At 59.7% G+C, this 14,008-nt stretch overlaps 1 protein-coding gene across 8 annotated transcripts in view, besides 3 other annotated features; it reads right to left on the minus strand.

The window, feature by feature from the left end:
* The window catches only part of REXO1 (RNA exonuclease 1 homolog), a 33,236-nt gene that overhangs the window by 18,402 nt on the left and 826 nt on the right, over positions 1-14,008 (minus strand). The window lies entirely within an intron of this gene.
* Positions 811-1,777: an enhancer, noted in NCBI's record as "H3K27ac-H3K4me1 hESC enhancer chr19:1834459-1835425 (GRCh37/hg19 assembly coordinates)". NCBI's record gives its function as "activates a minimal SCP1, AML or CMV promoter by ChIP-STARR-seq in primed H9 embryonic stem cells {active_cell/tissue: H9 hESC(primed)}" and the evidence as "EXISTENCE:reporter gene assay evidence [ECO:0000049][PMID:30033119]".
* Positions 1,778-2,743: an enhancer, noted in NCBI's record as "H3K27ac-H3K4me1 hESC enhancer chr19:1835426-1836391 (GRCh37/hg19 assembly coordinates)". NCBI's record gives its function as "activates a minimal SCP1, AML or CMV promoter by ChIP-STARR-seq in naive H9 embryonic stem cells {active_cell/tissue: H9 hESC(naive)}" and the evidence as "EXISTENCE:reporter gene assay evidence [ECO:0000049][PMID:30033119]".
* Positions 3,410-4,404: an enhancer, noted in NCBI's record as "H3K4me1 hESC enhancer chr19:1837058-1838052 (GRCh37/hg19 assembly coordinates)". NCBI's record gives its function as "activates a minimal SCP1, AML or CMV promoter by ChIP-STARR-seq in naive H9 embryonic stem cells {active_cell/tissue: H9 hESC(naive)}" and the evidence as "EXISTENCE:reporter gene assay evidence [ECO:0000049][PMID:30033119]".

Genomic DNA, 14,008 nt, shown 5'->3' on the forward strand with positions numbered 1-14,008 from the left:
GGCGCCCTCCCGGCCCACTTCACTGGGGGAGGCTCCGGCTCCTCCCTGACCCAGCCGGCTGCAGAGCACGCCACCCTGCCACCCGCCTGGTGAACAGGGCAACTAGTGCCAGCCCTCCCCCAGCCCCGGAAGCCCGGCTGCCCAGTGACGTGGAGGGGCCAGGCCAAGGCCACTGTGGCGTGAGCTGCAGAGATTCATGAAGGGGAGGTGACAGAGCACAATTACTGAGGAGGAGCAAGGCCAGGTCAGGGAGACACTGGTCTCCCCTCCCAAGGCTCCAGCTAACGGGGATGCAGAGAGGAGGAAGAGCCCGCCTAACGGGAAGGCTCTCCTCCCCAGGCAGGGGTGGGCAGCAGTGAGACTGGGCCCCAGGAGGGCAGGCGGGGGTGGAGGGGACTGAGGCATCTCTAAGGGGCTAAGGATAAGGGACTCCACTCAGGGGCTTCCACCTCCTTGTCCTGGACCCCAGGGCTCTAAGACACAGCCTGCAAGATCAACCCAGCCCAGGGGAGCCAAGAGTCACAGGCAATACACACACCAGCCAGCAGACACCCGCGAGCCCTTCCCAAAGGAAGGAAATTCAGACCTCTGGACATTGTGGACTCTGAAAGGAGAGACCATTTCCCCAAAAGGTGCTTTTGGAAGGTCTTGGAAGGAATAGCACCTGCCTCCCAGGAGTGGAGCCAGGCCCCCAAGCAGAGCGCAGGACAGGTGATAAGGGTCCAATCTGGGGGACGTGGGCTTGTCTTTCTAACTGGAAGCCTGTGTGAGTACTTGTTTTGTTGTTTTGTGGAGACAGGCATTGCCCAGGCTGGAGTGCAGTGGTACCATGATGGCTCGCTGAAGCTTTGCCTCCCCGGCTCCAGCGATCCTCCCGCCTCAGCCTCGCAAGTAGCTGGGACCACCTGCGTGCACCACCACATCCAGCTAATTCTTTTCTTTTTTTGGTAGAGACGGGGGTCTCGCTGTAATTGCCCAGGCTGGTCTCAAACTTCTAAGCTCAAGCGGTCTTCTCGCCTCGGCCTCCCAAAGCACTGCTTGTCTTTTAAGGGCTGTGAAACCTGCCCCAGCCTTTAGCCAACAGATGGGAAAGAGCAGGGGCACCTGGAGGCCGGAGGGCACACTCTGCAGAGGGGGTTTCAGCATTTTCACTCCCGGGTGGAGGCTGCTACCACCTCCACAAAGACTGCACCAAAAAGAAAGCAGGCATGCTAGGCGGGTCCGAGAAGACTGAGATCAGGATCTGCACCACGGCCTCTCCTCCCTGTGGTCACTGGGCTCCCCCACCCTGCAGCCTGTGACCCACTGGTGCTGGAAGGCAGCATCCTGGCCTGGGCGCTCCAGCCAGGTCTGGAAGTTTCACACAGGAAGTTGCCTGGGGCTCGGCCATGGCTGCCTGCAGCTCAGAACAGGGGGTACGGCGTGCTGAGCCCCTGAAAGGTCACCTGAAGCTGGTACACACCACTGCCTCCCTGGACCTCCCTGTCCCACCATGCCTCAGAGGGTTGGATCTGGGTACCTGTCAGGACTGGAAAGGCCCCAGGGTGGCATGTGCATGCTGCTAGGTGCCCTGGGAGCCCACCCAGGGGGTCACATCTAAAGGCCGAGTTTGGGCCAGGCGTGGTGGCTCACACTTGTAATGCTAGCACTTTGGGAGGCGGAGGCGGGAGGATCACCGAGGTCAGGAGTTCGAAACCAGCCTGGCCAACATGGTGAAACTCCACCTCTACTAAAAAATACAAAAAAAAATTAGCCAGGCCTGGTGGCAGGCGCCTGTAATCCCAGCTAGTCGGGAAGCTGAGGCAGGAGAATCACCTAAACCTGGGAAGTGGAGGTTGCAGTGAGCCGAGAACGCACCACTGCACTCCAACCTGGGCGACAGAGCTATACATGCATACACACATACATACATACATACACACACACATACATAAATGAATGCCGACTCTGGAAGTAGGAGGGGCCCGTCCAGGCCCCGTCCCACGGCTGGGAATTACTTTGGATAGGAGCAGGTGGGCTCCTTCCTGGATGTGGCCCAGGTCAGTCTGTTTCTGGGAAACATGGTGAATTGGCTGACAGGAAAAGCCTACCTCCAGAGGCCTGGGAGCTGCCCCTTCCTCCCTGCTTCACCCCAAGGCCAGGACTGGGAGGTACCACCCAGCCCCAGTGGTCCTGAGAGGCCACAACGCCTGGCTGGCTATCTTCCCCAGCCTCTCCAGCCAGGGCTCAGCCCAGGGCAACGCAGCCCAGCCTTGTCCCGGCCTAGGAGAGAGCCCACTCCCTACACCACCCATCCTGACCGCATCTCCTGAGACCAGTGCCCTGCAGCCCCGGGACGGGCTGGATGACAAAGATGATATTTCTTCCCAGGGTTCTAGGTGTGGGGCCTGGGACCAGCACTATCTGCCCAAGGCCATCTCCTGGCCCCCAAACCTTCCCTTGGCCCAGAAACCCCTCACCCTGGGCATCCACTCTCCTCTCTGCTCCCACTGCCCCCGCCCCACCACACTCAATCCACCCACACAGCTGTCCTGTCCCCAGCAATGGGGAGAACCTGGCATGAGCTCCAACCCCACACGGAGACTGAAAGGCAGCAAAAATGACAAGATCATGGAGCACGAAGATCCCAACCTGAACTTCCAGAACGTTCTCTAGTGAGACCCGTCCAAACTCCTGTCTTCTCTCAGTCAGCCCATTTCAAAGATGAGGACACCCAGTGCCAGCGAGAGCCGGCAGCTCCTAGCCCCACAAGGAGCCCCAGGCCCCTCCCACCCAGACGGGGAGACTCAGTGGCTCTAAAGAACCCGGCAGGCTGGCTGGACACGATGGCTCATGCCTGTAATCCCAGCACTGTAGGAGGCCGAGACGGGTGGATCACCTGAGGTCAGGAGTTCGAGACCAGCCTGGACAATAAGGTAAAACCCCGTCTCTACTAAGAAAACACAAATTAGCCGGGCGTGGCGGCAGGCGCCTATAGTCCCAGCTACTTGGGAGGCTGAGACAGGAGAATCACTTGAACCCGGGAGGCGGAGACTGCGGTGAGCCAAGATTACGCCATCGCACTGCAGCCTGGGCAACAGAGCAAGACTGTCTCAAAAAAAAAAAAAAAAAAAAAAAAGAACCCGGCAGGCCCAGCCCCTGCTCCGGACACCGTTCGGTGGGCCCGCAGGGCTCTCAACGCAACCAGGCATCAGCAGGACTGGCCCCTCCAGCCCAGGCAGTGGGCCCCGCATGCTGGCCCAGAACAGGCCAGGCAGAGACCCCAGATGGAAACAGACAGTCCCTCCCGCCTGGGGCTTAGCTGGACAAAAAAGATAAGCCTGACACTGCGGCATGAGATAAGCAAGACTACCCCCAACCTAGCCCCTGGGGGAGCCATCTGGGCGGCCTGAGGCTTTGAAGGTGGAGACAGAAGAGGACATTCCCAAAACAGCCACAGCGGCAGAGAAGGCACGGGGCTGACCCTCGCGAAGCGCAAGGCAGGGGCTGGTTGTGTCCACGGGAGCGCCCATCCCATAACAGACCCTCTGGGAAGAGGGGTCTGGAGGACAGCACCCCTGAAGTCCACCTCCTGCGGACGGCAGAGTAACCATAAGGTCCCCACAAATGGCCATACGTCCACTCTGGGGGTCCCTGCTCCTGGGGCCTCCCCTCCAACCCTCACAGTGGGACGTCCTCCAGCCCCATCCTTGGACATGCGGGCGCCCGGGGCCCTCCATGCACAGCCCACTGGACAGATAGGAACCCGCTGCTCAGAGGCAAAGGGACCAGCACTCTGCACCCAGAGGAGGTCCCACAGCTCCTAGACCACACGGGGCAGAAACAGGGTCACCTGGAGAGGGCTTCGAGGAAAAGTCCAGCCAGTGCCGGGGGCCTGGACCTCCACCACCCAGCAGCTTCCAATACCCTCTCTGAAATCCAAGGTGGCCCAGCTCTGCCCCACCCCCCACACCAGACTCCACCCAGGTCTCAGAGCTTGCTGTGGAGGCTGGGCTGTGCCTGCAGCAGCGGCACCTGGGGTCTACCCCACTGCCCCCAGGGTTCTCCTCGACCCCCAGGGCTGCGATCCGAGCCTCCCCTCTGCTCCAAGGCACCGCCCTCCCCACCTCGACAGCGCAGTGTGCAGTGCCAGGACCGCCCAGCAGGTGGAGCCACACGGCAGGGTCCAGGGGAGAAAAAGAAAAAGGTCCCGGCCTGACCGGGGACCACCAGCTCTGCTCTCTGGGGCGTCCTGGGCATTTATTCACCTCATGGGGCGGCCGTCCCCACATGCCATGACTGGACGCGCTGCTGTCCCAAGGCTTACAGCTCGAGGCTAGGGGACAGGGACGGTAACCAGGACAGAGGTCACTGCCTTTCAAAACAATGTAGAAACAGGCTGGGCGCAGTAGCTCACGGCTCTAATCCCCGCGCTCTGGGAGGCTGAGCCCAAGGCCGAGGCAGGTGGATGATTTGAGGTGAGGAGTTTGAGACCAGCCTGGCCAACATGGGGAAACCCCGTCCCTACTAAAACTACAAAAAATTAGCCGGGTGTGGGGGTGCCTATAACCCCAGCTACTCAGGAGGCTGAGGCAGGAGAATTGCTTGAACCCGGAAGGTGGAGTCTGCAGTGAGCTGAGATGGCGCCACCGCACTCCAGCCTGGGCAACAAGAACGAAACTCCATCTCAAAAAAAAAAAAAAAAACCAGCTGGGCGTGGTGGCTCACACCTGTAATCCCAGCACTTTGGAAAGTCGAAGCGGGCGGATCACCTGAGGTTGGGAGTTCGAGACCAGCCTGAGCAACATGCAGAAATCCTGTCTCTACTTAAAAAAATACAAAATTAGCCAGCTGTGGTGGCACATGCCTGTAATCCCAGGTAATCCCATGCCTGGGCGCAGTAGCTCACGCCTGTAATCCCAGCTACTCGGGAGGCTGAGGCAGGAGAATCGTTTGAACTCGGGAGGCGGACGTTGCGGTGAGCCGAGATCGTGACATTGCTCTCCAGCCTGGGTGACAGGGCGAGACTCCTTTTCAAAAAAAAAAAAAAACTGAAACAGAAGGGTACAAATGGCAAAGGACAAGAACCGGCAGGGAGGAGCCAGCGGGACCTTCTCCCCCTATGCCTCTCCATCCCTGCCAAGAGCCCACCTTGGCTGTGAGCCACTTTCATGGTCCACACAGAGTAAGTTAAGAGTCCAGCTCTCAGCCGGGCACGGTAGCTCACGCCTGTAACCCCAGCACTTGGGAGGACAAGGCTGGTGGATCTCTTGAGCCCAGGAGTTCGAGACCAGCCTGGGCAACATGGTGAAACCCTGTGTCTACTAAAAATACAAAAATCAGCAGCTGGGCACGGTGGCTCACGCCTATAATCCCAGCACTTCGGAAAGCTGAGGCGGGCGGACTGCCTTGAGCTCAGGAGTTTGAGACCAGCCTGGGCAACACGGTGAAACTCTGTCTCTACTAAAATACAAAAAATTAGCTGGGCGTGGCGGCGTGCTCCTGTAATCCCAGCTACTCGGGAGGCTGAGGCAAAAGTATCACTTGAACCCAGCAGCGGAAGTTGCAGTGAGCCAAGATCACGCCACTGCACTCCAGCCAGGGCGACAGAGCGAGACTCTATCTCCAAAAAAAAAAAAAAAGAGTCCAGCTCTCAGCTCCTCCTCATCCCAGGGCCTTTTCTGTCCCCAAAGGACATTTCCCAGTGGGTGTTTCTGGGACTCCTGTGCTCCCCGTCAGGCACAGAGGACTAAAAGCATCCAGGAGCCCTGCAGCCTCTTCCAGGGGCTCACAGAGAAGCTGGAGTGGGCACCTCCACGGGGCGCTGCCCCTCAGCCAGGGGTTCACAGGCTGTTCCTAGGATGGGTGCCGTGGCGCCTAAGGAGGAACCCACACACCAGGGTGACTGCAAGCACAAGCTGTTTTTGTTACTTGGTGACCTGTGTGCAGATGCTGGGGGGACGGGGTGCTGGCTGGCAATGTGGGCCGACCCCGGCCCCATCATTCATTCCTCCAGCACATGTTCTCTGAATACCTGCCCAGGACCTCAGAGAGGGCACGCAGCCTGCAGGGCACAAAGGGCAGGGCCCTCCCTCTCTGTCTCATCCACTTCCCCAAAGTCCACTTCCTCCAGGCAGCCCTCCGAAGTCCTCCCTGCAGAAGCAGCAGTGCCTGGCATAGTGCCTGGGATACAGAGGTGGAAGGCATGGTGGAGCCCTCACCTCACTCCACCTCCTCGGCCGTGGTGCACGGGGCGGTGGCCAACTCAGGACTGCGCAGGCCCACTTCCATGGCTTCCAGATCCTGTCTCCCTAGGGCCTGCTCCTGAGGCAGTGCTGGCTCCCTTTTGGTCTCTGAGGGCCTCTGAGCCACTGTGAGAGGAGGAGGGAGGGGTCTCAGAAAAATGGACTGTGACCCGTGACCGTTAACAGGGTGGGGATGGACCTGTCGCCAGGACAAATGGACAGGCTGGGAAGCCACAGGGCGGGGATACGCCTGGAGTGCACGCCAGGCCCACACCCCCAAGCACACGCTCTCTGCCACCTTCCTGGCCCTGCCCCCTGCCAGGCTCTTCTGAGCACCCCAGCGTCGACGGAGCTGGCCCAGGGCAGGTGTCTGCAGAGATCTGAGGAAGGAAGGAAAGTGGGAAGGGGAAGGAAACACTGACCCAGAGGCACGGGCCCCTCCACACCTGCAGCACACCGACTCTCCAGACATGAGTCTCTGTGGGAACAGGAAGAGACTCCAGAAAGCTGAGAATCGCAGACTGCCCAACCGCAGGAGCGCTCCCAGGCTGGGGACAGATGAGACAGCATATCAACAGTGAGCCCCATCGGCGGCAAGCTCCCAAGCAGCCCCAAGCCCAGAGCAGGAGAACATCCCAGGCTTTCCTCGAGCTGTCTCCATCCCCAGAGCCCACAGCCCTAATCCCACTTCCAGCCACAGGCAAACTCCTATTCATCCTCCAAAACCCAGCCCAGTAATCCTGTGTTTGGAAACACTCGCCCCACCCCCCTGCAACTCTGAGTGACACCCGGGCCCGCCCCACGTCACCCCTCCACTCCCTGCAACTCCAAGTGACAGCTGCCCTGTCTCCTGGACCCGGGCCCACCCCACATCACCCCCTCCGCTTCTGCTTCCCGAGTCCCCTCAGCCTGGCGCCACAGACACTGAGTCTAGATGGACCCAGACAGGGCCTTGGAGGGCACCAGGACCAGCTCCTGGCTTTACAGAGAACACTGAAGTCCTGTGGTGTGTGTGTCCAGGCTCAGCCCACAGCTCGTCCCGAGTCCTCCCCCAACCACTCCTTTCCTGAGGCCGGAAGCAGGGGCAGGTCCCAGAACCCCGGGCTCCAGGCACGCAGCCTGTCATGGGACGGGAGGCGCTCCGTCCTCGCAGCCGTTCCCAAAAACCTCTCGGAGCCTAAGGGAGGGATCGCCCCGAAACAGCCAGTGCACATGCGGCTCCTCCAAGGGTCCCAGAGGACTTGGCTGTTAGAGGAGGAAGAGGAATGGCAACTCGAGAGGTCCCCGTGAGGCTCAGGGACCCCCAGGATTGCCCTGACAGTCTCCCTTCTACCCTGTTTATTTTCTTTTCAGGTTTTTGCTTTTTGTTCTGCAGCAGATCATACCAACAGAATCTACCCACTGCGCGGACAGCGTAAGGAACAAGCCACGGCCGGGCGCACCCAGCGCTCCCCGGAAACCTGCCTGCTCCTCTCTAGGGATTGCTTTGCAGAAGGGATTCTGAGGGTGGGGAGGAGGGCGGAGGAGGACAGAGTTTTCTCGTCAAAGTGAGGCCTGCTACAGCACAGCCCGCACGACGCTTCCCGTCACACTCAGATGCCACGACCCCATCGTGCAGAAGAGCTCGCAGAGGCCGAGGGAGGTTCAGGAGGCAACAGGCTCAAGGGGGTAACGCCCAGCAGGAGGAGGCCGGGGCCTTCCTAGCGAGCTCTGCCCCACAGAAAGCCAAGCAAGACGCCTTCATTCCGGGGTACGGTCTCCAGAGGGACAGAGGCCGGCCACTGGCACCTGAACCTCCAGTCTGCAGTCCCTGGAGGAGACGGTAAAGCTGCACAGGGCTCTGGGGGGAGCGCTCTGGGGAGCGGCTCAGGCACTGCAAGAGTCCCCGGAACCCCTCCCAGCAGGCACGCTTGTCCCCGCTGACCCCAGCCCCAGCGAGCTGCTCTGCCTCTCCCATCTCAGGCTCTGGGGGCAGGGACGGTGCTTCTCAGGGTCTCTGCCTCTCCCTACAGGCAGAGCGCCAGCTCAGCCATCCCTCTCGAAAACACAAAAACAGGCCCAGCACAGTGGCTCACGCTTGTAATCCCAGCACTTTGGGAGGCTGAGGCGGGTGGATCACTTGAGGCCAGGAGTTCGAGACCAGCCTGGCCAACATGGTGAAACCCCATCTCTACTAAAAATACAAAAATTAGCCAGGCGTGGTAGCAGGTGCCTGTAATCCCAGCTACCTGGGACACTGAGGCAGAAGAATCACTTGAATCCAGGAGGCGGAGGTTACAGGAAGCTAAGATGGAGCCACTGCACTCCAACAGCCTAGACGACAGAGCCAGATTCCGTTGCAAAAAAAAAAAAAAAAAGCAGCAGCAGCAAAGAAAACACAAAAACAGCAGGCGGGGCCGCCAGACCGGCATCCTCATCCTCAGGACTACTGCCCCAAGCTAGATCTCTGTCTGTGGGGTTGTCCCCAGCACTGAAGGGTGCTGAGCAGTGCCCCTGGCCTCTGCCCTCTCTGTGCCTGCACCCCCAAACTGGCAACCAAAACATCTCCAGACATCTCCTAACATTCCCAAGGTGCAGAACCGCCCTGTCGGGATCAGTCACTGCTCTACTGAAGACCTAAGCAAAGAATCCTAAAATATGAATACCAAAACCAGCCTCGACTGGCACGGCCCACGCCTGGAGGCAGCTCCGGGCCCAGCAGCCAGGTTTTCAAAGCTGCCCAGGCGCTCCGGAAGTCAGGTGAGGACCTCAGAACCTTGGGAAAAGCCCCCCCAAAAAAACAGAATCCAACCTCATCTGTGAGGCAGGGTCCCAGCCATGGCTCAAGCACAGCAAGCCCGGGACCTCTGGTGTGGAGTCTGGAGGAGGCCCGGCAAGCGGCCTGGTGCCGGACTCGGCAAAGGAAGCCACACTTCTCCTCTGGCTCTTCCGTATTCTCTGATGTTTCTAAAACAAACATTTCCCCAGGCCAGAAAATAGTACCTTCAAAAGTAAAGCACCCAGAGACCCGTGGCAACACGGACAGGCCCCCAGGCCCTGGGAACCCAGCGCTTTTCCCATCGCCATCCACCTGGGGGAGAGCTGCCAGCACAATCCTGCCAGCATCTGCAAGAAGGCGGCTGCTCTGGAAACCCCAGGCCCCTTTCCTCTAACCCCCTCCACACAGGAACATCAAGAGTCACGGGGCAGCAGAGCCACCCACTCTGTGGTAGGAGTGTGGGGGAGGGCTCCTCCTCCTCGAGGCCAGGGCAAAGCTTCAACCCCCCGCCCGGAGGGTCCCAGCTCCCCGGGCCCAGAGCCGCAGCTGGGCGAAGCTTCAACCCCCAGCCCGGAGGGTCCCAGCTCCCCGGGCCCAGAGCCGCAGCTGGGCAAAGCTTCAACCCCCCGCCCGGAGGGTCCCAGCTCCCCAGGGCCCAGAGCCACAGCTGGGCAAAGCTTCAACCCCCCGCCCGGAGGGTCCCAGCTCCCCAGGGCCCAGAGCCGCAGCTGGACTCGCAGGCTCGCCGGCGAGGGCTGAAAAAGAAACGGCCTCAGCACCACCGCTGGTTGTCACCACTGGGGTCAGGGAAGCCCAGGGACGCTGCTCAACATCCTACAACGCAAAGGACAGCCCACCAGACGACAATCTGGCCCCCAGTGTCCCTAGCACCAACCGTCCCTCCAGCAAGCTCCATAGCTGCCACTCCAGGCCAGGCAGGCAGGCGGCCCCGGTGGCCCGATTGCCCACCTGCCACCCGCTGGTAAAATCACCCCCGGGTCCTCATACGCCCTGGTCAGGCCTGGGGAACCAAAAGACAATACTGCTGGCTGCGGGGGTTCTCCCCTAGAGTCCATTCCTTCCTGGACGCGGCTCACTGAGGATGAAAAGTCGGACCGAGGAGAGCACACACTGTCACGTCTCTGAAGGTGACACAGGTGGTCAGACGGTGCCTTCACTGCCCCACGGAAAGCCGGCTGTCTCCCATCCACCAGGAGGAGGCAGCACAGGACGCAGCCAGCGGGAGCTCCTGACCCTCCTGAGAGGCCAGAGGAAATGAAGGCAAGCCATCCTCTGCAGCGAGGCGCCATTCTTGGCCTCCTTCTCCCTTCTCGCCTGACTCGGGGCCTCAGAGTTTCCGAGGAGAGCTGGCAAGCCCTAACAGATCAGTAGGATCCCAGGGCTCACCTGCCTAGCAGGGGTATGGGAGGCTGTCACCGACACCGGAGAGCCAGGCCTGCTTCAGGCCCATCCTTGGAAGGTTTCAAGTTCCCTTCTGTGCCCAGCCCACAGAGGCTGGCAGCAAAAACGGCAGAGGAGGCAGGCAGGGCCCCGGCCCACCCACATCCAACCCAGCACTGCCAGTTACCAGCCACGCGTACACAGGTGAGCAGCCTCCCGGCGCTGGGCCTCAGTTTCCTCATCTGTAAACTGGGAAGAGCCACTCCCACTGCTGTTTGGGGGTCACAGGCAGAGTCCGCCCAGTACTGCTGTGGTAGTGGCCAAGTCAAGAGGTAGGGACCCCAGAGCCCATGTGAGGGGCCACATCTGAAGAGCCAGAAGGAGGAGGACCCCTGCCTGACCCGACTCTGCTAGAAGGCTCAGGAGATACTGGGTACATGGTGGCTGGGCTTCAGGAGATATTGGGTACACGGTGGGTGGGCTTCAGTAGATACTGGGTACACAGTGGGTGGGCTTCAGGGCTCCCCATGTACCTGGGGCTGCTCCCTGAGCGCCTCTACCCCAGGACTCCTGCCCTCTACAGATGCAGTTCTGGAGAGTCGCCTGGAGCCCCAGCTGGGACGCCGCCAACAGCCCCACCCAGAACCACTGGCACCGGGCTGCCAGATCCTGAACCCGACTGCGGGATCCCCGAGGGCAGGAGCTGTGCGCCCCGCACACACGTCTGCCGCTCACTTTGCAGTATAGGATGGCCCCTTCCCCAGGCCTGGGACTGTCCTGCTGGGGCCTGAGTCAGCCTGTGGCGCAGCACTAGCATCCCCTCAACGTGGTGCCCTCAGCCTCTGCCTCCCTCAGGAGAAGCATCATCTGGGAGCACGTTCCTGCCGGAGCTGTGAAGCCCTGAGCTGGGGCCCACCGCACCTCTGGAGAGCCCTGGACTTTCCTGCAATCCTCCCCGGAAGGGTTCCCTCTCCTGGAAGACAGTGTCCTGCCTCTCAGTAGGACACAGACTCCCTGAGACACCACAGGGAGTGCGGGGCAGTGGGCAGAGGCCTGGGTTCTGAGGTCAGATGGGAGGAAGGTGGGATCTAGCCCTGCCCACTCCACATAGACAACCGAGGCCCCTCACCTACCACCAGGCTGCAGCCAAGGCCCAGGCAGCAGAGAGCGGCCACTGGGGGGATAGTAACGCTCATTCCCAACTCACAAGGCTGGGATAGAACGTGCCCCTCTAGGCCGGGGATGCACATCCCTGCGTCCCAGGGCTACACGGTGCCCGCCGTAAGGGCTGCTGGACCATCCCTCCAAGCCACCCTGGGCAGGTCCAGCCGGCTCTGAAATGGCTGTGCAGCCCAGCGCGGTGCTTCACGCCTGTCATCCCAGCACTTCAGGAGGCTGAGGAGAGAGGATCGCTTGAGTCCAGGAGCTCAAGACCAGCATGGGCAACAAAGTGAGACCCCGTCTCGGCAAAAATTTTAAACATTAGCGAGGTGTGATGTCACATGCCTGTGGTCTCAGCTAGTCAGGAGGCTGAGCCAGGTGGATCCCTTGAGTCCAGGAGGTCGAGGCTGCAGTAAGCTGTGATCGCACCACTGCACTCCAGCCTGGGTGATAAAGTGAGACCCTGTCTCAAAAATTAATTCATTAAATAAAATGGCTGAGCAGGTCCAGGGATAAGAGCCCAGAAGGAAACCTGAGTCCTTCAGCAGTGCTGCTCAAGGTCGCCAATGACCCGCTGAGCCTGTGACCCAGGGCCCAGGAGCACCAGCCACCTTCCTGTTCCCGTCGCAGCTCCGCCAAGCCTCCCAACCCTGCCTGCCTTGGTGCCCTCATCAGATGCCCTCTCCTTCTCCCAGAGGCCCTGGAGGCTCCAGCCCTGCCCTGGCCAGGTGGTAGTATGGGCAAAACACGTTCCTCGATAAGCCTCCGTTTCCCCACCGGCAGCAAATAGCTCACAGGGTCACCATGCAGCGCGTGTCCAGCACAGAGCATGGCCCCACAGGTGCTCCAGGGCTAGCTGAGGGCTTTTCACCTGAACCTCTGTCCACTCTCAATCCTGGGAGGCCAGCGTTCCTGTCTATCTCCTCTCTGGAGGCCGCTGCCCTGTGCACCCTAAAATCCCCTTGAGAAGACATGGCAAAGGCTAGATCACGCCAGCCTCTTCAAATCTCATAGGAAACTGGGTGTGTGTAAATCTGGAGGTGTGGACATGGGACATGCATCCCCCCCTGTCCTCAGAGGGCAGCCTGATGAACATGTCACGGAGGCGGAAACAGAGGGTCAGAGAAACCTCACCGCAAGGAAGATGGATCCTGCCTTCTGCGGGGGGAGGCAGTCTTCTACCAGACAGTAACAAGAAGCCCTACCACCCCACCAGAGATGGGAAAAGGAGTTCATTCTCACCAGCAAAAGGGAAATGCAGACACGCCATGGTAAGAGGCAGGCAGCTGCCTTTTTCCCATAGGAACGGGGGGCAGACAGGAAGACGACATCACCAAAGGGACCCTCAAAAATAAGCCTTTGGGAAACAAATGAGCCATTTGGGATGCAGACAGATATCATAAGCCTGACTTGCGCCGGGTGCAGTAGCTCACACCTGTAACCCCAGCACTTTGGGAGGCCGAAGCAGGAGGTCGGCTCGAGGCCAGGAGTTTTGAGACAAGCCTGGACAACATAGCGAGACCCTATCTCCACGAAAACATACAAAGTTAGCCAGGCTTGGTGGCACCCGCCGCCCATAGTCCCAGCTACTCAGGAGGTTCAGGCAGGAGGATCCCTTGAGCCCAGGAGGTCGAGGCCTCAAAGAGCTGTGATCGCACCACTGCACTCCAGCCTGGACTATAGAGTGAGACCCTGTCTCTAAAAATAGGGTTAAAATGAGCATCGTGAGTCTGGTGTCACAGCCTCCGAGAAGCCTCTCCCACGCGTTGCCTTCTTCACCAACTCCCAGCCCCCGCCAAAGCCGGCTGCGTGCTCCCAGGACATCACGACCTATGCTACGGGATCTGTAGGCACAGCTGTCGGCAGGTCCCTGAGAGCACAGCCGGCATCGTACGCAGCTCTGAATCCCCCGCCTCAAACACAGCGAAGACGCTGGGCTGTGGGGAGCTGACAAGTGATTGCTTGCATCTGTCCACCTGCAAACAACCGCCCACAGGTGCAGGTGTCCCAAGCACACTTATCAGGGAAATCAGAAAAAAATGCTACCTTTTCTGGCAAAACAGGAAAATAAACCTATTCTTAAATCCTAGAGAAGATGTTTCTCTTTTGCAGGAAAAGGTTCTGAGCTGAGACTGTTTCATGGTTAAAGTAAAAACAGTGCTTGAAACTCACGCCCAATGAGGAAATCTGGGACGAAGGAAGTCAGGGGCTGGGTGAAGCAGAGAGCCACTATCAAGGGACAGAGGTAACAGGGGAGTCTGAATGACATCACACTCGATAACCCTCCCTCCACGACTTTCCTTGCGATGTCCCTCTTTTTCTCCAATCCAAATCCCACATCTCCTCCAAGAAACGCTGCCATGACGATGAAAACCACCATGACGCTGTGAGGTGGAGTCCACCAACGTCCTCTGCCCGACCAAAAGCATGGAATTCCTCGGAGCCCACTCGAGTAAGCTTTGAC

This window comes from Homo sapiens, chromosome 19 (assembly GCF_000001405.40).
Source record: "Homo sapiens chromosome 19, GRCh38.p14 Primary Assembly".
Classification (NCBI taxonomy): domain Eukaryota; kingdom Metazoa; phylum Chordata; class Mammalia; order Primates; family Hominidae; genus Homo; species Homo sapiens.